At 39.9% G+C, this 21998-nt stretch overlaps 1 protein-coding gene and 2 pseudogenes across 3 annotated transcripts in view, besides 1 other annotated feature; all 3 read left to right on the top strand.

The window, feature by feature from the left end:
- The first annotated feature begins 2383 nt into the window (after positions 1–2383).
- WFDC8 (WAP four-disulfide core domain 8) overlaps positions 2384–21998 on the top strand; it is a 28133-nt gene continuing 8518 nt past the window's right edge. For all 3 annotated transcript variants that reach the window (NM_181510.3, NM_130896.3, XM_017028119.2), the window contains exons 1-2: positions 2384–2446; positions 19449–19558. In NM_181510.3, coding sequence (NP_852611.2) covers positions 2421–2446; positions 19449–19558 — 136 coding nt within the window. In that variant the 5' untranslated portion in view covers positions 2384–2420. The remainder of the gene's footprint in view (positions 2447–19448; positions 19559–21998) is intronic.
- Positions 2634–3569: an enhancer, noted in NCBI's record as "OCT4-NANOG-H3K27ac-H3K4me1 hESC enhancer chr20:44206738-44207673 (GRCh37/hg19 assembly coordinates)". NCBI's record gives its function as "activates a minimal SCP1, AML or CMV promoter by ChIP-STARR-seq in naive H9 embryonic stem cells {active_cell/tissue: H9 hESC(naive)}" and the evidence as "EXISTENCE:reporter gene assay evidence [ECO:0000049][PMID:30033119]".
- On the top strand, positions 12661–13864 carry CCNB1IP1P2 (cyclin B1 interacting protein 1 pseudogene 2; annotated as a pseudogene).
- RNA5SP485 (RNA, 5S ribosomal pseudogene 485) lies at positions 21792–21910 on the top strand (annotated as a pseudogene).

Raw genomic sequence — 21998 nt, 5'->3', positions numbered from 1 at the left:
TTGCCTGTCTTGGCTTTGGCTCTGAACAAAACAGGAAAAAAGACTACTCTGGGCTGGGTGCAGTGGGTCATGCCTGTAATCCCAGCACTTTGGGAGGCAGAGGTGGGTGGATCACGAGGCCAGGAGTTCGAGACCGGCCTGACCAACATGGTGAAACCCCATCTCTACTAAAAATACAAAAAAATTAGCCAGGCGTGGTGGTGCGTGTCTGTAATCCCAGCTATTCAGGAGGCTGAGGCAGGAGAATCACTTGAACCCGGGAGAAGGAGGTTGCAGTGAGTTGAGATAGTGCCACTGCACTCCAGCCTGGGGAACAGAGCGAGACTCCATCTCAAAAAAAAAAAAAAAGACTATTCTGAGAATTTGTAACTGCAACCTTGTTTCCTTTCATAAGAGCAGAGTAGGAAAATTGGCACATGTGCATGGTCTGATAAATCTAAAGCTATGAATTTAATTCAAAATTGCATGAGTTGTTAGGGAAAAATTGAGGACAAGTTGATTCGGAAGAATTCTCCTTTAAACACAGGAATCCAAGAAATTCCACAAAGTATTGTTACATACATAAACTTCCATTAAATATGTACTCTCACAATAAAAAAAATCACACAGATCTTAAGAAAACAAGATGAAAAAAATCAAGAAAAACAACCAACAGCAGAGGTCCACAAAGACTTCAGATATTGGAGTTACTGTATTGTATTGTAGCGAGTTATTGTATTGTAGGAAAGGAACATAGAAAAAGGATTCCTGATTCTGTCTTTGGGGTAGGAAGGGCACGTGATAAAAACTTTCATTCAAAAGGTAAAAGACAAGCCAATAAGGGTTTTAGAAGATTACCCTTGATCCTGGAAGATGTTCATAATACATATAACTGAGGAAAGACATGACTCCAGTAGAAATCAGCAAGAAAAAGTCAGAAAACCCCAGAGAACAATGAGCAAAACATTTGAAAAGAAAATCAAAGAGAGGATAGCCAAGTGGTTAATAAAGATCTAAAAAGGTGCTCAACCTCATTAGTAGTCAAGAAATTTAAATTAAGTCCACAGTGATGTATTTCCATACTCGTAGCAGGATGGTAAAAATGAAAAGATTGTGACAGTTCTACATACAGCATGGTTATGGAACAATAGGAACTCTCAACTACCAATGGCAAGGCTGTGAATTGGTACAAACTCTTTGGGAAATAATTTGGTATCAGCTTGAGAAGCTGAAGATATGCATACCCTGTAACCCATCATTCCCTATGCTGAATGTATAACCTACAAGAACACCTGCCCACGTGCTCCAGCAAATGCACACAGAGTGTTCATAGCAGCTTTATTCTTTTTTTTACATGAGTAAATTGTTTAAAATTTTTTTGACATTTAAAAACATTTATTAATTCATTTAACGTAATAAACTTATTACATGTTGATATAAATAACATTTTTATTTAGAAAATCCTAGTTTTTTATTATACTTTAAGTTCTGGGATACACGTGCAGAACGTTATTACATACATGCTATGTATACACACAGCAGCTTTATTCTTAACAGCTGCAAACTATAAACAACTCAGTAGAGATGTGTGTAGTCATACAATAGATGGCATGGCAATGAAAATTGACAAAATACAGCTACACAAAACAATGTGGATGGAATTCATTAATATAATGTTGAACACAAAAAGCCAGGCACAAAAGAATACATTCCAAGTGACTCCATTGATATAGAACAGAAGCAGACAAAAACAAAAACATATTTAGGGGAATACATATGATCTTGAAAATATGAAAAAGAAAGTCACTACCATTAGCTGCCTTTGAGAGCATAGGAAGGGGTTGTGACTGGAAAAGAATGAAAAAGGAGCAGAAAGTGTTGGAAATTTTTTACTTGATTTCAGTGATAGTTTAATGAGTGGTCACTTCGTAATAGTTCGTTAGACTGAACATTAATGTTTCATGCATATTTTTATTTTTGTGGTGTTTTTCACAATACATATTTTTACAAAAAGGAAAAGTAGCTCTTCCTTGTTTTGTCTCCTTTTCTTTACTAACTGAACTAGTCAGTCCTAAAGCCATTAGATAGGCACATTTAGCAAGGTAGGCGTTTGCCCCAAGGGGAAGGGAGCCACGGCTGGCTCCGTGTGGGCATCAGAGCTGGAACAGGTCAAGGAGGGTGTCTCTGTAGGAGGGCTGCTGGCCTGGTGTGCTGGAGCCAGGGGTAGATGAGAATGCCCAGTGAAGAGGCAAGAAGCAGCATAGCATGGAGACCAGCCTGCCCATGTTGAGAAAGGCATCCCCCTGGGGCTAGAGGGGCAGACTGGCATAGAATGAGAGCCTGAGTGGGGTGAGCAGAGTGTCCAGGCAGGGGAGCAGATGAGGGAGGAGCCTTAGAGCTGGAGCAAAGTGAGGAAGCTGTCTCCATAGGGAAGAGGCCTGATGTGGACTGTCCGAACTGAAGGAGGGTGAGGAGGGTGTCTATGGGGGTGGGTAGCCAGACATGGAGGGTCTGAGCCCAAGGAGATGAGGAGGATACATAGAAGTTAGAGTGGTCGGCTGTGGGGAGTTGGGCCAAGCATAGTGAGGAGGGGTTCCACAGAACAGAGCTGTCTTGTGTCAGGAATCAGAGCCTAAGCAGGGTGAAGAGGGCATCAATGCATCCAGCGATTCTCCTGCCTTAGCCTCCCTAGTAGCTGGGACTACAGGTGTGCGCCACCACGCTCGGCTAAGTTTTGCATTTTTAGTAGAGACGGGGTTTCACCATGTTGGCCAGGCTGGTCTCGAATGCAACCTGATATGGCTGTTGGAGCCCAAGTAGGGTAAGTTGGGCATCTTTGAGTGGCCCAGTGTGGAGGGGCAGAGCCTGAGCAAGGTAAAGTTTGATATTTTAAATTAAACAAGCATATAATATGTATCTAAACATTTTCAAAAAATTAAAACAGGAGTAGTAGTGATGGGTTATATTATTATTCACAACTATTCATTCCATCTTTCCTTTAAGAGGACACTCCTGTCCATTACCTTGCAATTTTAGAACGGCCCGTGGAAGGAAGACACATTTCTGTCTCATTGACTTTGGGTTTGCTGTCAGCTGTGCTTTGCCTATTGGAGTATGAGCAGATGTAGCATATGCATAGTGAGTTTTGCACTGTGAGTTTCTGCCAGCTCCTTTGTGCTTTCTCTCTGCCAGGAGAAGGGGCCTAATCCACATAGAGGCTGCTTCTTTTGTCTTGGTCCCACAGCCTCAAGTAGAGCCCCCACTTGGAACAAAGCAGTAGACAATTTGCCTAGGAAGTCTTTTGTTGTGGCAAGCCATGGAGAGCTCAAAGTTCTTTGTACACCAAAGTAATAAAAATACAGTTGATTCCCATTACTTGGGGGTAGTTATGTTCTGTAAAGTCACTGTGAACACCGGATTAGCAAATACTGAGCCATTGCTCCTAGGGAAAATGCAAGCCTCTGACCACACATTTTCATCATTTGATCAATACATAACCTTGTTTTTATATGTGCTTCTGTCTGAAGACACATGACAGAGATGGTAATTAGAAGGTGCACACAGAAGACTTCTGGGAAGCTGGCTACTTTCTATTTTTTAATCTGTGTGGTTAATTATTAAATAAAACTCTACATACTTTATTTATTTATTTATTTTTATTTTTATTTTTTTTGTTTTGTTTGAGAGGGAATCTCTCTCTGTCCCCCAGGCTGGAGCATAGTGGTGTGATCTCGGCTCTCTGCAACCTCCACCTTCTGGGTTCAAGGGATCCTCCTGCCTTAGCCTCCTGAGTAGCTGGGACTACAGGTGTGCACCACCACTCCAGGCTAATTTTTGTATTTTTAGTAGAGACAGGGTTTCACCGTGTTGGCCAGGCTAGTCTTGAACTCCTGACCACAGGTGATCTGCCTGCCTCAGCCTCCCAAAGTGCTGGGATTACAGGCATGAGCCACCGTGCTGGCCCTGTCTTTATTTTTTAAACATGTATATAGGCCAGGCGCGGTGGCTCATGCCTGTAATCCCAGCACTTTGGGAGGCTGAGGCAGGCGGATCACTAGGTCAGGAGATTGAGACCATCCTGGCCAACACAGTGAAACCTCATCTCTACTAAAAATACAAAAAATTAGCAGGACGTGGTGGTGGGTGCCTGTAATCCCAGCTACTCGGGAGTCTGAGGCAGGAGAATCACTTGAACCCAGAAGGCGGAGGTTGCAGCGAGCCGAGATCGCACTACTGTACTCTAGCCTGGCGACAGAGTGAGACTCCATCTCAAAAAAAAAAAAAGACACCTTATGTAATATATATTATTGTTTCATTAACATTGAATTGTGGCTGAAAGCCCTGTAACTCATGCCTGAACCAAGCTTATCTGACACAAGTAATTTCTTTGTAAGGCACATTGCAGGCCTCTTGCTCTTAGGACACTTGACAGCACTTTAGTAATTCTTGGCAGCCATTTTAAACAGCAAACTCACCAACAAAAAGCACAAAAATGTGAAAAATGTGACACTAAGTAGACTGCAAAAAGGAAGCTTGTTTATAGTAGTAGAAGAGCTTAAACAAGCAGAGCGTTGCCTTGTTTGACTTCAGCTGGGAATGTGTACGTTGGGGGACTCAAATTTTTTGCCATTCTGCACATATCCCTGAATGACCACAAAAGCATCATGAGTATTGATTTTTGGGTAATAAATAAATTTCAGCAAGTAGGCAAATTGGCAAGTACAGAATCTGAATAATGAGGACTGAGAGTAGATAACTTGTAATAAAATTGTAGAAATGAATCCAAATATGTCATTAGTGCCCATAAATGTCAATTAATAGGTAATAATTTCTGGACTGGATTTTTACAATGTAGATTTACACGATTTGAAGGATAAACTTAAAACATAAGTAGAATGGTTGAACGCAAAAGAATGGAAAAAAGACTAGGCAAATGCAAACAAAGAAGAGAGAGTATAGTTTGATTAATATTAGGCAATAGAAAACTCTAAGGCTGGGCACATTGGCTCACGCCTGTAATCCCAACACTTTGGGAGGCCGAGGCAGGCAGATTGCTTGAGGCCAGGAGTTCAAGACCAGCCTAGGCAACATGGAAAGACCCCGTCTCTACTAAAATTACAAAAATTACAGGTGTGGTGGCACATGCCTATAATCCCAGCTCCTTGGGAGGCCGAGGCACAAGAATCATTTGAACCCAGGAGAGGGAGGTTGGAGTGAGCCAAGATCGTGCCACTGCGCTCCGCCCTGGGAGAAAGACAGTGAGAGACTGTCTGAAAAAAAAAAAGAAAACTCTAAGACGAAGTTTTATCTTTAAGGATAAAGGATGGCTTGCTAGATAATGGTAAAAGACTCAGTTCACCAGGAATACATTTGTATTTACCTAAACCAATCAAATCAGGATATATTAAAGCAAACATTGACATCATTATAGGCATAAATTGAGAAATCTATGGCTGTATTGAGGGCCCTTGACACACCTTTCTCAATCATTGACAGATCAAAAGGACAAAAAATGTAAAAGATTTAAAATATTTTAGCAGCACAATATGGAGATATGTACGGAGTGTTCTGTACTCAATATTTAGAGACAATCCTTCTCCGGTATCAGAATGTAGATATCTGACTAGGCAGCATTTAGAAGAAAATATCTTTGGACGAGGCTTACTAATTTACTTACTTACTCAGCCTGAACTTAGGGCAAGGTGTATTAAAGTGACTTATGGAGCTAGTTGTCCTCCTCAAGGTCTGCTTCCTAGTAACTGAGGCTAGAGGCACATATCTGGTTGAGTAGCCTTGCAACAGAACATGCTATGCTATGGGGATGAGGAGGGGTGTGAGCTAGGAGCTCTCAGCCATGGAAACAGGGCCTGGGGCTGGGCAAGCGCCTAACTGGGGAGAACTAGAGGGTAGCGAGATGTAATAGAGTCATAGTGGGCCCTTACCTGTAGTTCCTAAATATTGTAACCTGGGAATTCACACTGCTCCCCCAGCTCCTGGCCATCTGTAGACCTTTCAATTGCAAAATGCTGCTCAGTTTCCTGCAAAGTGCAACCTCTGCTATTTGGGGAAGCTGGGCAAAAAGATAGGTTCTGGGTGGTATGGGCATTTTAACAATATTAATTCTTCTAATCCATATGAAATATGAATATGAAATATCTTTTCATTTATTTATGTCTTCTCCAATTTCTTTCACTAATATTTTGTAGTTTTCAGTGTACAGATCTTTCATATCCTTTGTTAAATTTACTCCTAAGTATTTTTTATGCTATTGTAAATGGGATTGTTTTAATTTGTTTTTCAGGTAGTTTGTTGTTAGTGTATAGAAATGCCGCTGATTTTTGTATGTTGATTTTGTATCCTGAAAGTTTAATAAATTGCTTTATCAGTTCTAACAGTTTTTTTGGTGTGGAGTCTTTAGGGTTTTCTATATATAGGATCATGTCATAAGTAAACAGAGGCAATTTCGTCGCTTTCTTTCCTATTTGGATGAATTTTATTTATTTTTCTTGCTAATTGCTCTGGCCAGGACTTTCAGTACTATGTCGATTAAAAGTGGTAGAAATTGGCATTCTCGTCTTGTTCCTGATCTCAGAGAAAAAACTCAACTTTTCACTGTTGGGTATAAGAGCTGTGGGCTTGTCATATCTGGCCTTTATTGTGTTGATGTACATTCCTTCTATACCTAATTTGTTGAGATTTTTTATCATAAAAATGTTGAATTTTGTCAAATGCATTTTCCGCATCTACTGAGATGATCATATTATTTATATCACTAATTCTGTTAAGATGGTTCACCACATTGATTGCTTTGAATATGTTGAACCATCCTTGCATCCAAGGGATAAATCCCACTTGATCATGGTAAATGATACTATTTTTTTCTTTTATTTTGAGACAGAGTCTCGCTTTGTCACTCAGGCTAGAGTGCAGCGGCACGATCTTGGTTCACTGCAACCTCTGCCACCCAGGTTCAAGTAATTCTTGTGCCTCAGCCTCTCAAGTAGCTGGGATTATGGGGATGTGTCACCATGCCTGGCTAATTTTTTTTGTATTTTTAGTAGAGACAGGGTTTTGCCCTGTTGGCCAGGCTGGTCTCGAACGCCTAGCCTTAAGTGATCTGCCCTCCTTGGCCTCCCAAATTGCTGGGATTACAGGTGTGACCCACCATGCTTGGCTGTGAATGATCCTTTTAATGTACTGTTGAATACAATTTGCTGATCTTTTTTTTTTTTTGAGAATTTTTGCCTCTGTGTACATCATGGATATTGGCCTGTAATTTTCTTTTCTTGTAGTGTCTTTGCATGGCTTTGGTATTAGAATAATGCTGGCCTCATAAAATGAGTTTGAAAGAATTCCCTCCACTTCAATTTTTTGGAAGCATTTGAGGAGGATTAGCATTAGTTCTTTAAATGTTTGGTAGAATGAAGTCATGAAGCCATCAGATCCTAGATTTTTCTTCGATAAGAGACTTTTAATTACCAATTAAATCTCCTTACTTGTTGATCTATTTAGTTTTTCTGTTTCTTCATGATTCAGTTTTGGTAGATTATATGCTTCTAGGAATTTCTCAATTTCTTCCAGGTTATTCCACTTGTTAGTGTATAACTTCAGAATCCCTACCAAAATTCCAGTTGCATTTCTTATAGAAATTTAAAAAATCCTAAAATTTGTATGGAGTCACAAAAGACCCCAAGAATCTCAAGCAACCTTGAGCAAAAAGAACACAGCTGGAGGCATCACACTACCTGATTTTAAATATACTACAAAGCTGTAGCAATCAAAACAGCATGGTACTGTCATAGAAACAGATACATTGACCAATGGAACAGAATAGAAAGCCCAGAAATAAATCTATACATTTATGGTTAACTGATTTTTGATAAAGGTGCCAAGAACACACAATGGAGACTGTCTCTGATAAATGGTCTTGGGAAAACTGGAAATCCACATGTAGAAAAATAAAATTGAACCCTTATTGCACACCATGCAAAAAAATCAACTCAATGGATAAAGAAAACATGGTATATATACACCACTCAGCCATAAAAAATAATGAAATAATGTCTTTTGCAGCAACTTGGATGGAGCTGGAGGCCATTATTCTAAGTTAAGAAACTCAGGAATGGAAAACCAAATACCATATGTTTTCGCTTATAAGTTGAGTTAACCTATGGGTATGCAAAGGTATACAGGTGGTATGATGGACTTTGGAGACTCAGAAGGGCGGAGTGTAGGAGGGCAGAGAGGGATAAAACAAACTACATATTGGGTACAATGTACACTACTTGGGGACTGGTGCACTAAAATCTCAGACTTCACCACTATACAATCTATTCATGTAACCAAAAACCATTTGTGCCCCAAAAGCTATTGAAATACAAAATATGCATATATTTAAAAAAATCAACTCAAAATGGACAAAAGATCTAACTGCAATGGCTGAAACTATAAAACTCTGAGAAGAAAACATAGGGGGAAAGCTCCATTACATGGGTGTGGGCAATGATTTCTTGGATATGACCCTAAAATCACAAGAAACAGAAGTAAAACTAGACAAGTGAGATTACATTAAATTACAAAGCGTTTGCATAGCAAAGAAAATAATCAACAGAGTCAAGAGACAACTCATAGAGTGAGAGAAAATATTTGCAAACCATACTATGATGAGGGGTTAATATTCAAAATATATACGGCACTCCATTTACTTGATAGTAAGAAAACAACTCAATTTAAAAATGGGCAAAGGACTTGAATAGACATTTCTTAAAAGAAGGCATACAAAGGCTGGGCGCGGTGGCTCACGCCTGTAATCCCAACACTTTGGGAGGCCAAGGCAGGAAGATCACTTGAGGCCAGGAGTTCAAGACCAGCCTGGCCAACATGGTGAAACCCTGTCTCTACTAAAACCACAAAAATTAGCTGGGCATGATGGCGCATGCCTGTAGTTCCAGCTACTCGGGAGGCTGAGGCACGAGAATTGCTTGAACTTGGGAGGCGAAGGTTGCAGTGTGACAAGATCACACCACTGCACTCCAGCCTGGGTGACAGAGCATGACTGTCTTGAAAATAAATAAATAAGTAAGTTAGTAAATAAATAAATAAGGCATTCAAATAGCCAATAGGTTTATGAGAAAATGCTCAACATCATTAATCAACAGGGAAATGCAAATTAAAATCACAATGAGGTATCACCTCATGCCTGTTAGAATGTCTGTTATCAAAAAGATTAAACATAACAAGTGTTGATGAGGATGTGGAGAAAAGGGAATTCTTTTTTTTTTTTTTTTTTTTTGAGATGGATTCTCACTCTGTCGCCCAGGCTGGAGTGCAGTGGCACGATCTCGGCTCACTGCAAGCTCCACCTCCTGGGTTCACGCCATTCTCCTGCCTCAGCCTCCCGAGTAGCTGGGACTACAGGCACCCGCCACCACGCCCGGCTACTTTTTTGTATTTTTAGTAGAGACGGGGTTTCACTGCGTTAGCCAGGATGGTCTCAATCTCCTGATGAGATCCGCCCGCCTCGGCCTCCCAAAGTGCTGGGATTACAGGTGTGAGCCACTGCACCTGGCTGAAAAGGGAATTCTTGAACACTGTTGGTGGGAGTATAAATTAGTACAGCCATTATGAAGAATAGTGTGGAGCTTCCTCAAAAATACTAAAAGTAGAATTACTGCATAATCCAGCAATCCCATATTTGGGTATATATCCAAAAGAAATGAAATCAGTATGTTGAAGAGATATTGGCACTGCTATGTTCATTGCAGCATTACTCACAATAGCCAAGATATGGAATCAACCTAAGTGTTCAGCAATGGATAAATGGGTAAAAAAGTGGTATATATACACAATGAACTACTATTCAGCCTTTAAAAAGAAGGAAATTCTGTCATTTGCAATAACATGGATGAAGATGAAGAACATTATGCTAAGTGAAACAAGCCAGGCAGAGAAAGACAAATATTGCATGTCTCACTTACATGTGGAATCTAAAAAGTTGAACTTGTAGAAGTAGAGAGTAGATGGTGGTTATCAGAGGCCGTTGCCAGGGGTCAGGGTGGAGTGTATGGGGAAAGGGAAGATGTTGGTTAAGGGGATAAAGTTTCAGTTAGACAAAGGAAAGAAGTCTCTGAGATCTATTGCATAGCATGGTGACCATAGTTAACAATGTATTGTACATTTCAGAATTGCTACAGAAATGTTCTAATTTAAAAAATGATAAGTATCTGAGGTGATGGATGTGTTAATTACCCTGATATAACCATTCCGCAATGTGTACATACATCAAAACATTAAATTGTAGCACATAAATATAAATAATTATTATTAGTCAATTAAAATAAATTTCTTAAAGTGCAATGAAAGCAGTGATGAAAGAGGTATGTCTCAAATTAAAAATAAAAATGGAAGTAAATTATAGGAAATGAGAAATGAATGAAATTGACCAATGATCCATTTCAAGTTGGAAAAAGAAAGGCAAATAAAATCTAATGAAAACAAAAAGATTGTGGGTAGAGAATCAGACATGGAAAATAAAAAAGGAATAATATTAAACTTAAAATTAACGATTTAAGGACAATAAAGTATGGAAATTATGAAGACTTTTTTTTAAAGTAGGTTCAATGATGGGGCTCTGGAGAAACTCCTACCCAAGCAGGCTCAGAAACCAAGGAACCAACTGGATTTGAAAGCTGTCCTAGGAGAAGTTGGAAAATACGAAAAATCTTCCCACCAACATTTGAAGTGGCTTAGATTCTTAGAGTTCCACAAATGTAGGCTAATTACTTTCATTTCTCCAAATAGCATGCAGTCTTACCACTGCACATCTATTAGAACGACTAAAATAAAAGCATTTACAATACCAAACGCTAACAGGTGTGTGGAGCAAGTGGAACTCTTAGGAGAGTAGTGCATGCATTACTAATGAAAATGCAAAATGGTACTGTGACTTTGGAAAAGAGTTTGGCAGTTTCTTACAAACATACACTGGTCACATAACCCGGCAATACCACTTCCTGGTATTTATTTAAGAGAAATGAATACTTAGGTTCATAAAAATACCTCTATACGAATGTTTGTATGGGCTTCATTCATAATTGCCCCAAACTGGAAATAACCCAAATTTCCATGAACAAGAGAAAGGATGAACCTGTTGTATAGCCATAGAATGGACAAAATTCAGCAATAAAAAAGAACAAACAACACACAACATAAATGAATCTCAATGCATTATGTGAACATGTAAATATTAATTTTTTAAACTGCTACATAATTTTTTAAAATATATATAATCACTGGGGTAGAAATATACTAATTTGATACCCACAAGCATCTATTTAAAATATATGGAAAGCAATTCTTTAACAGTTAGAAAATTTAAAACATTAATTTTTTTCATTGAACTCATATTTTCATTCCTCTTACCCCCCAGACTTTCAGTATAATGGAATATAATCTTATGCTCAGAAGTCTTTTATTCATGTCATTTTCTTTTTTTAATTTAACTTTTAAGTTCATGGGTACGTGTGCAGACTTGTTATATAGGTAAACTTGTGCCATGGGGGTTTGTTGTACAGATTGTTTTGACACCCATGTATTAAGCCTAGTACTCATTAGTTATTTTTCCTGATCCTCTCCTTCCTCCTACCCTCCAACCTCCCATAGGCTTCAGTGTCTGTTGTTCCCTTCTATGTCTCCATGTGTTCTCATCATTTAGCTCCCCCTTATAAGTGAGAACATGCGGTATTTGGTTTTCTGTTCCTGCATTAGTTTGCTAAGGATGATGGCTTCCAGCTCCACCATGTTTCTGCAAAGGACATGATCTCATTCTTTTTCATGGCTGCATAGTATTCCATTGTGTGTATGTATCACATTTTCTTTATCCAGTCTACCATTGATGGACATTTAGGTCAATTCTATGTCTTTGCTATTGTGAAGGGGAAAGGACTCCCTATTCAATAAATGGTGATGGGATAACTGGCTATCCATATGCAGAAGACTGAAACTGGACCCCTTCCTTGCACAATTTACAAAAATTAACTCAAGATGGATTAAAGACTTAAATTTTAAACCCAAAACCATAAAAATCCTGAAAGACAACCTAGGCAATGCCATTCATGCTATTTTCCTACTGCTATGCAATTAAAAACATATGCATAAATTAAAATTTAAATTATTTACTGTGACCATGAGACTCCAGGAATCAAATTTTTTCTTATGAATTAATTTTTAAAATCCATTTGTTATTTCAATGATATAATAATAATGAACATGTAAATAAACACATTGTAAAAATTGAGAAACACAATTTTATTGATAAATACAAATCTATAGGAATTCATCTTTTAATATGTAAGTGTACAGGGACAAAAAGTTTTAAGTATGACATTTGGTTCTTTGAACTTCTAGTAAGTTGCCAAATATCACATGATACTCATAATCAAAAATTATTTTAACCCTCCCTCTCCTAAAGGGAGAAGGATGGCAGGTTGAAGATGAAATCCACTGAAGAGGTAAGACCTGGGTCTTTAGCACCCTGTGTGCCAGGCCAGAAGTGGCCCTGTGAAAGGTCATCTGCAGACCCCCTGAAAATCAAGCAGGATTGGATTTGGAAATTCTCAATAAAGGAAGAGTTAAAGGCTGATGTGACTATAAAGAGATGATGCTAAGTAGCTGATAGATCCTGTAGTTCAACTTGATACCTACATAGAAGCTGGATTCATCTGATACCAGAGAAGTAAAATTTCAAGGCCAAAACCAGATCTGAGTCTTACTGTTTCAGTCTGGTCCTCTTCAGTGCTGTAAATTCTAGATATACAATGGATGATGACTGCATATTTCTTTCATGGACTATTTTCAGCATCTGGAGACCTCACTATCCTATTATGTCTTTGTGTGAAGACATGTTGTTTTGTAATTATCGAGAGTGTCACATTGAACTCTCTGGTTATGCATGGGTCACCATCTGCTCTCACATCTTCTGTGATCAGCATGGCAGTGGTGACTTTTGTGGTTCACCTGCTATCTGTCCTGCCTGCAACAGTACACTTTCTGGAAGGCTAGATATTGTCCGCACTGAATTCAGGAATATAAAGCTATGGTATTGGCTGGACTGTGACTGGAGATAGTGTTGGGCATTAGCTCCCAAGTACTTGGCCTTCTGGACATTACATCAGGTGTGTCTCTATCAAGAATACAATTTCAGGAAAGCTGAAGGCCATATGAAACAGATGGAGAAGACATACACTCAGCAAATACAGAGCCAGGATGTTGAATTGACCTCTGTGAAAAGGGAGATAACCTCCATGAGGAGAGTGCTAGAAGAATACAAGAAAAAAATAACAGTGACTTCTCTGAGACACTTATGAAGCACAATCATCAGTATTGAAAGCTCCAAGGCCTCTATGACAGGCTTAGGCTATGAAACATCACTATTCCACACCACAAAGATACCCTTGAGCCATCCATGATTGTACTCTGATGTTTTTGGCTTCCCATTAGGGAACAACTCCAAATTTTCTGTGGACAGTATACCAGTTGGAAATTGGGTAGTGGAAATGGAGATTTTCAGTTCAGACCATTTTTCTTGGGTTCTCCCACAGCACCTGCGCACAGCAACAGCTTTTTTAGTTTTGCCTCTACAAGATGTGAACTAGAGCAGTAGCAAGTCTCTAGCAGGGCCTTCACAGTAAAAAGAATTTGAGCCATGCATGGTGGTGCATGCCTGTAATCCCAGCTACTCAGGAGGCTGAAGCAGGAGGATGGCTTGAGTCCAGAAGTTTGAGGCTGCAGTGAGCTAGGATGGCCCGGCTGCACTGCAGCCTGAGTGACAGAGTGAGGTTCTGTCTCTAACAAGAAAAAAGGTAAAAATGATTTAGCTAACTTTACAGAATGTTTCTCTGTTCAATTTCAGTGATTTCATTTAACAAATCTTTATTCCAGATGGGAGTCACCAACCTCCCTGTGCTTTTACGTTTTTGAAATTGCCTTCACATTATCAACTTATAAGAAATTCAGTGGCGGTGGAGAGTGGCTTTAGAAGTCTGGTTCCTTTGTCTCTATTATTTAAAGCATGAGCATTTTAAAAGTCAGTTTTATCGTGAACTGTTGAGTTTTCATCGCTAGTGAGAAGGTCACAGCAGTATTCTGTGTTTCAGTAGACCACTGTTTCTGTATGGGCCGTTTCTGACCGAGCTGTGTGTTTATGCATAAACACCTGTGTTACATGTCTGCATGTCACTTTGAATTCTGGAATTTTCACATATCTGTGTATGTAAGCGTGTTAATTTACACTGGTATTTGGCTGTATTTGCCCTTATATTTATGTGAAAATTTTGGTCTTGGAAAATGGTGGGTGATCTGTGGCTTATTATTTGAGTGTGTGTATTTTGAATATATTTATGTATTTACCCTCATAGTAACTTGTTTGGAGGCACACTTACACTTATGTCAGTGAATGAGAACATGATTCCATGCATATATGTTCAGTCCCTACTTGTATTTGAAAATAGTTAACATTGATAACGCTATTTTGTAAAGTTGATTTTTTTTTGGCATTTACAGTTGGCCCTCCATATCCACACGTTCTGCATCTGCAGGTCCAATCAACTGTAGATAGAAAAGATTTAGAAAAAAACAATAAAAAATAACACAACAATAAAAATAATACAAATAAAAACCAATACAGTATAACAACTACTTGCATAGCATTTATAATGGTAAGTATTAAATACCTACCAATCTAGAGGTGACTTTAAAGTATTTGGAAGAATGAATGTAGGTTATATGCAAATACTATGCCATTTTATAAAAGCGACATGAGCATCTAAGGATTTTGGTATCCATGAGAGTTCCTGGAACCAATCCCCCAAAGATACCAAAGGGTGACTGTATTTTAAACTAAAGTTACTTATTTATTTGCCTTTTTGTCAACTATTGCCTTGGGTTTACTTATTTAGGAATGCACTTCTACTGCAGAACATTTTGCAATGTTATTTATTTTATTTTATTATTTTTTGTTTTTTGTTTTTGAGACAGAGTCTCGCTCTGTTGCCCAGGCTGGAGTGCAGTGGTGCAATCCTGGCTCACTGCAACCTCAGCCTCCCAAGTTCAAGCAATTCTCCTGCCTCAGCCTCCCGAGTAGCTGGGATTACAGTCATGCACCACCATGCCCGACTAATTTTTGTATTTTTTAGTAGAGACAGGGTTTAACCATGTTGGGTAAGCTGGTCTTGAACTCCTGACCTCAAGTGATCCACCTGACTCAGCCTTCCAAAATGCTGGGATTACAGGCATGAGCCACTGCACCTGGCTAGCAATATGTTATTGATCTCAAGAGATTATATTAAAATAATATTAAGCATTTAAAAATTATTTTAATGATCTAATTTAATTATTAATCAATAGCTTGATTAAACACTCCTTCAATTTTTATAAAGTCATAGAATTGGACACCTGGTATCTTGCAAAAGGATTTGTTTTTTTAGCTGGTAGAATACTAATCACAAATCACAAGTGATTTTCTTAATTTCCAGAAAGTTAACTAAAAAGGCTTTACCAGCATCTACCAAACGATTAATAATGTGATTAGTTATACATGTTATTCTTTCATTTAGTGACCTTATCTAATCTGAAATGCTCTGTAAGTGCTGGAAAGTTTGAATACTATGGTTTCAAAATATAGGAAAGTTTGAAAGCATTTTATAAAAAATATATTTTTTTAAAATTTTGTGATTACTTTCATAAAATGCTTTTATCTTACTGCATACTTTAAATATATTTTTTAAAAAACTTGATGGCACAGATTTAACTAATTGGCAAAGTCAGTCCTCCATCAGCCAAATCAGTCAAACTCATTTCTCCCACAAAAGAATGTCTTCATTTTTCAATTCAAATCAATGTCTTAATCTACATCCCCGTGGCAACTATCACACTCCTGAATCCTATTTCTAGGGTAGACAGCAAAAGGCACAGTGGCTTAGTGTGAGTTTGCCACCTGAATGAAACCGGTGCTGACCCCTTGGTATTTCTTACTCACACTTTCTTTCCTTTGCTTCCATGGAAAGCATCCTCAGGAAAATGCATTCTTGAATTGTTCCTTTGTTTGGAATTCAGAAGTTTTTACACTTTGAAGACATGTGAGAGATATGTAAGAAGTATGCTTTTTTTAAAAAAAAATTTAAAGAGGAAGGACTTAATCAAAGAGAAGAAGAAAAGGAGAACTTCAGGGTGGCTCATTGTCAAGTAAATCAACTTCAGGAAAAAGTAAATATGTAGTTTAATAATCAGTAATGTCCTCAGATCCCTCTGTACCTGTGTACCTCCTGGAAAATCTACCTGTATCCTGAGGGATATGGGTACCCCAGCCTGAACAAGCCTAATCTAGTCAAATCCACTCATTTTTCAAAAGGGTAGACGGAGGTAAAATTTCAAATGGGTAGACGGAGGTAAAACTAGCCCAAGTTGACACAGTGATTTGATGGTGAAGCGTGGATTTCAATCAAAATCTCTTCATTCCTGGTGTGTGTCCTTCCTTCCTTCCCTCCCTCCCTTTTTCCCTTCCTTCCTTCCTTCTCTCCTTCCTTCTTTCCTTCTTTCCCTCCCTCTTTCTCTTTCTTCCTTTCCCTCCCTCTCTCTTCTTCCTTCCTTCCTTTCTTCTTCCTTCCTTCCTTTCTTTCTCTTTCTTTCTTCCTTTCCTTTCCTTTTCCTTCCTTCTTTGTCTTTCTTTCCTTCCTTCCTTCCTTCTTTCTTTCTTTCCTTTCTTTCACTCTCTCTTTCTTCTTTTTTCTCCCTCTCCCCTATTCTCTTCTCCTCTCCTCTCCTCTTCTCTCCTTTCCTTTCCTTTCCCTTCCTCCACAGGGTCTCACTCTGTCACCCAGGCTGAAGTGCAGGGGCATGATCATGGCTCATTGAAACACTGACTTCCTGGGCTCAAGTGATTCTCCCAGCTCAGCCTCCTAAGTAGCTAGAACCACAGGTGTGCGCTGCCATGCTGGGCTAAGTTTTTTTTTTTTTTTTTGAGACAGAGTCTCTCTCTATTGCCCAGGCTGGAGTGCAGTGGCGGCGATCTCGGCTCACTGAAAGCTCTGCCTCCCGGGTTCACGCCATTGTCCTGCCTCAGCCTCCCGAATAGCTGGGACTACAGGCACCCGCCACCACGCCCGGTTAATTTTTTGTATTTTGTTTAGTATAGACGGGATTTCACCGTGTTAGCCAGGATGGTCTCAATCTCCTGACCTCATAATCCGCCCACCTGGGCCTCCCAAAGTGCTGGGATTACAGGCGTGAGCCACCGCACCCAGCCCATGCCCAGGTGGGTCTTGAACTCCTGGGCTCAAGTGATCCTCCTGTCTTGGCCTCTCAAAGTGCTGAGATTACAAACATGAGCCACCGTGCCCAGAACCTAGTGTGTTATTTATATAGCACATTTGTGTCCGTGTATTCCAGGTCTGTCCTAGTATTCCAGGTCTGTCCTAGTATTCCAGGTCTGTCCTAGTTCTTCAGAGCCCCCACTGAGCAACTCTTGCAATTATGCTCATTTGTTACCTATAAGACCTGTGTTTTGTAGTCTCTTGCCCAAACAAACCCCAGTCCAACCAAAATGGATTCATTCTGTGTCAAAGTTGCCAGATTTAGAAAATAAAAATAGAGGATGACCAATTAAATTTGAATGTCAGATAAACATCAAATACTTTTTTAGTAGAACTATGTTCCTTATATTGCATGGGATATACTTATGCTAAAATTATAAATGGACATCCTCTATTATGTTTGGCAATTCTATTAATCTGTGTTTCTCCCCTGCCTCCATCCCACGAGATCTGCTTTCTTCTAACTGACTGCAGGCTAATCTGATTAACTGATTCTCAAGACTGGGTTAATAGATGTTTTCAGGTTAGAGGGTAAAATTTCAAACCCATAGAGTGACTTGATAATAAAAATTTAAAGCACCAGAGGGCCTTTTGGCTAATCTTTTAGGGGAACTAAAGGAATGATTTACACAGTCTCTAACTAGGGAACTCAAAAGCTAAAATGGTAATAGGAACATTTGTTGGCATTCACTATTGCCATTCATTATTTGTTAACTGGCTAAAATACAATAAACACTGATTTACAAGCCACTTGTCATGCTTTACAAAAATAGTTCAAGTAATTCTCATGTCTGTGAGGTAGGTGTTATTATTGTTTCCTTTATGACAAATTGAGGCTCAGTGAAGTGAAGTGACTGAACCCAGGCCACACAGCCGATAAGTGGTGGATTCAGGATGTGAACTCAGGTCTAACTCTGAATGCTACGTTTCCTACCACTCCGTACCACTTCATTAAATCTTCATGCTATCTCATCTTAATCCTCACAATGACAACAAAGCTTCCAGGTTAATTGTATTATTCCCATTTTCCAGATGAGGAAATTGAGGATCCAAGATATGCTGTTATAAGGGATTGAGCGAGGCCCAAAATCAAGATCACTATGTTTGGGGTCATAATTTCCATGACCAGAGAGTATAGGCACTATTGTAAAATTTGAAGAGGATACATGATTAGAACTCCCCCAACAAAAAAGGTTGGGGAGATAAATTGTCACAAGTCTTTACTTTTAGGCAGCCACATGGTATGGCTTCAGGAACTCTGGAAGATACTCTATTCCAAGATACCTTCATAGCTTTCTCAGTATCGGAAGTTCCACCAATACAGATGTATATTTTGGCATAAAGATGTTTTCTCTGTCTCTTGCTTCCTCTTTCTCCCTCTACCCACCTCTTGCATTTTTGAAATGCATGCACTCTAAGAGTTAATACAGTAAAGGATTATTAGTTTTTCACACCTTAAAATAAAAAATACATAAGGATCATGAAGACACATATGGGAAATGGGGGCTTGAGTAGGCGGGGGAAGCTCATCTGTTCATCTGGTTGTCTGGGAGTATCATAAGATCCTAGGCTTGGATAGTCACAGAAGGAATAAAAGGAATTTCTCTGTTAACCCAAGGTCATCTGAGATTGTTCTTGCTTCTGGTGCACCAAGATCCAGTAGAGTGTGCCCAGGCCCTCTGGGAAATCTCATACCATCCATTTCTGTCATCAGTGGAGCAAAGAAAAGATGCTCACTAGTGTCTGGGGTTGCCCCTGGAGTGACTGTGGGCAAACCAGCTCTGCAACTGTTCCAAATAAATCCTTGTGATCATTCAAGTGTGGCCTTTTACCCAGGAACAAGACAATAGGCAAGTGTCTGTGTGGCACAAGGTACAGCACCATGGCAGGGTATGGGGATTGGTCAGGGTCCTGAAACGGAATGTCTTAGACACACCTTAACTCACCATCTGACCTCAGACAGACTCCTTCCCCATGCTGGTGTCAGTCTTCTTACCTGTGAACTAAAGGGACCTGGTGGATCATCTCTAAGGTTCCCCTGCACACACTTTGTGTCTCTCTCTGGATTGTGCTTAACTCCCACCTCTCTTCTCATCCATACAGGCACTTTCCTCTCCATAGCCCCACCTTCTCCTGGAGGAATGTAGCTTTCCTGCTGCTTCTCTCCCTTGCTTTGGAGTGGACTTCTGCAATGCTGACCAAGAAGATCAAACGTGAGTTCAAAAAAGCTGCAGCCATTCTTCCTTAGAAAGCATTATTGGGGATGAGGGTTAGACATGAGGCCAGTGCCAGTGTCAGATGAGGCCCCCTCTACTGTGGATTTGGGGCCACAGAAAGCTACCCCTGCTCACGACCCTGGCCCTCCACATACTTTCCTTACTTGCTCCCCCCAAATTATTTCCCTAACTTTTCCATATTTTTATATATGTAAGGAGACTATATATATAGTTTGCATCTACTAGGGATGATCCCCAGAGATCTGGTCTCATCTGTCTTATGATATCACTCAACACATAATTCTTGGGTGATTACATTCATTCCCACTGTACACACACACACACACACACACACACACACACACACGCAAGTTTAATTGTTTTTTAATTAATAAGTCACTAGGCATGAGCCTGAGGGGAGAGGACCAGTGAGGAGGCTGCTGCAGTAGTTGAGAAGAGACAAGGGGTGAGATCAGGTGCTGATCTGAGGGAGTGGTAGTAAAGAGAGGCAGGAGACAGGGTTTGGAGAGAGGTTTAGGAGACAGAATTGACCCAAGTCCATGAGTGATGGGATACTGGGGTGGCGGAGAGGAAGGAGTGAATCTCTGGATTCTAATAACAAACTGGACCTGTTGATGCCAAATGTCAAGATGCGGAATAGAAAGTAAGGTAGTGCTTGGGCATAAGAAGATAATAGTTCTGTTTTAAATATGTTGGAACAGAGGTGCTTCTGAGATGCCCAGATGGTGTTTTTCCCAGGCAGGTCGAAATAAAAGTCTTTAGTTTGGAATAGAGGATGAGTCTGGAGGAAGAGATGGGAATCATAGTTGGGATCGTGGGAACGAGTGGGATTACCCAGGAAGTATGTGTCAAGTAATGTCAGAAGACAGCTGAGACCAGATCTCTGAGAAGCATCCCCAGTAGATGCAGAGAAACCCATGAGGTATGCTTATACACACAAGTAAGTGGTTAAGAAGAGCCAACAAGAAACGGAGGAGGGTTTTTATTAATAAGTGAGAGTTCAAGCTGACAATGGGGAAAGGAGCTACAACAACTCAAACCCAGTTTGATTTGCCGAACTCTGTCTCTGCCTAAACCTAGAACAATGGTTCCCAAGTAACAGCCTATCTCCTGGAGCCCACTGCCTGCTTTAGGACCACCTGGGGTTCTTTTTAAAAAGTGGAGTCCCAAGGATGCACTTTCTAGAGATTCTGATTCAGCCTAGAGTCTATATTTTCTGAAAGATGCATAGATGATTTTGATGTACACTCCAAATTAGGAACCACATACTCTTCTTAGCTTCAGTCCATTCCTGGAGGGGGTCATTAATGACAAGAAGTATTGTTGGAAAGTACTCAAAGTCTCAGTGGCCAGTCCTCAGGGAAGACGTGGGGCTCCTGAAGTGAGTCCTGGATTGTAAGTCCCAGACTTGCCCCTAATGCATTGTATTATCCTATCTGACCTCATTACTTTTGATCTATGAAATCAGAAGTTTGGTACCAATGATAAATAGAGTTCTTTCCATTCCAAAGTTCTACAGTTCCAAGACTCAGTAGTATCTGAAAGGATCATGCCTCTCTGGCCAGATTCCACTGGAGGGATGCTCAGTTTAGAATCATGGAGACACATTAAGCGCTGTATGAGCTATCCTTTGCTACGTAACAAATTATCTGTGGGTCAGAAGTCTGGCATTGTGCATCTGGGTTCTTTGCTCCGGGTCTTACCAGGCCAAGATTGAAATGTCAGCCAGGGCTGTAGTTCTCATTTGGGATGCACTGTCCTCTCCCAAGCTCCCTGGTTGTAGTAGAGTCATTTCCTTGGAGTTGTAGGACTGAGGCTCCTTTACTGGCTGTCACTTCTAGATGCCACCCTTATTCCTTGGCACTTGGCCTCAACCATCTTCAAAGCTACGAATAGCAAGTTGGATCCTTCTCATCATTTGAATCTCTCTAATCAATTCTTCTCTACCAACCAGAAGAAAACTCTGCTTTTCAAGGACCTAATTGACTAGGTCTGGGCCAGAGATTAGACCTTAAAATTAGAGATAATCTCTAATCTTAAAGTCAACTAACTTGGGTCTTTAATTTTTCTGCAAAATCCCTTCACAGCATTGCCTAGCTTAGTGTTTGATTCAATAATCAGAAGATGGGAATCTTGAGGGTGCAACTTTAGATTCTACCTACCACAAGCACTGAAATCAGGAAGCCATGTCTAGCCTTAAAAAGGAAGGAAGCATGGCCATACCACCCTGAAAATTCCTGATCTTGTCTGATCTCAAAAGGTAAGCAGGATCAGACCTGGTTAGTACTTGGATGGGAGACTGACTGGAAACACTGGGTGCTGTAGTTTTTTTCCCCTTGCCTCTTCTAGTTTTTAGTAAAAAAATAAAAATAAAAATAAAAGGTAGAAAGCAACGCCACATCTGCCAAGGTCTTAC

The sequence above is a fragment of the Homo sapiens genome, chromosome 20 (genome assembly GCF_000001405.40).
Source record: "Homo sapiens chromosome 20, GRCh38.p14 Primary Assembly".
In the NCBI taxonomy this organism is placed as follows: domain Eukaryota; kingdom Metazoa; phylum Chordata; class Mammalia; order Primates; family Hominidae; genus Homo; species Homo sapiens.
This window is presented reverse-complemented; position numbering and strand designations above follow the sequence as displayed.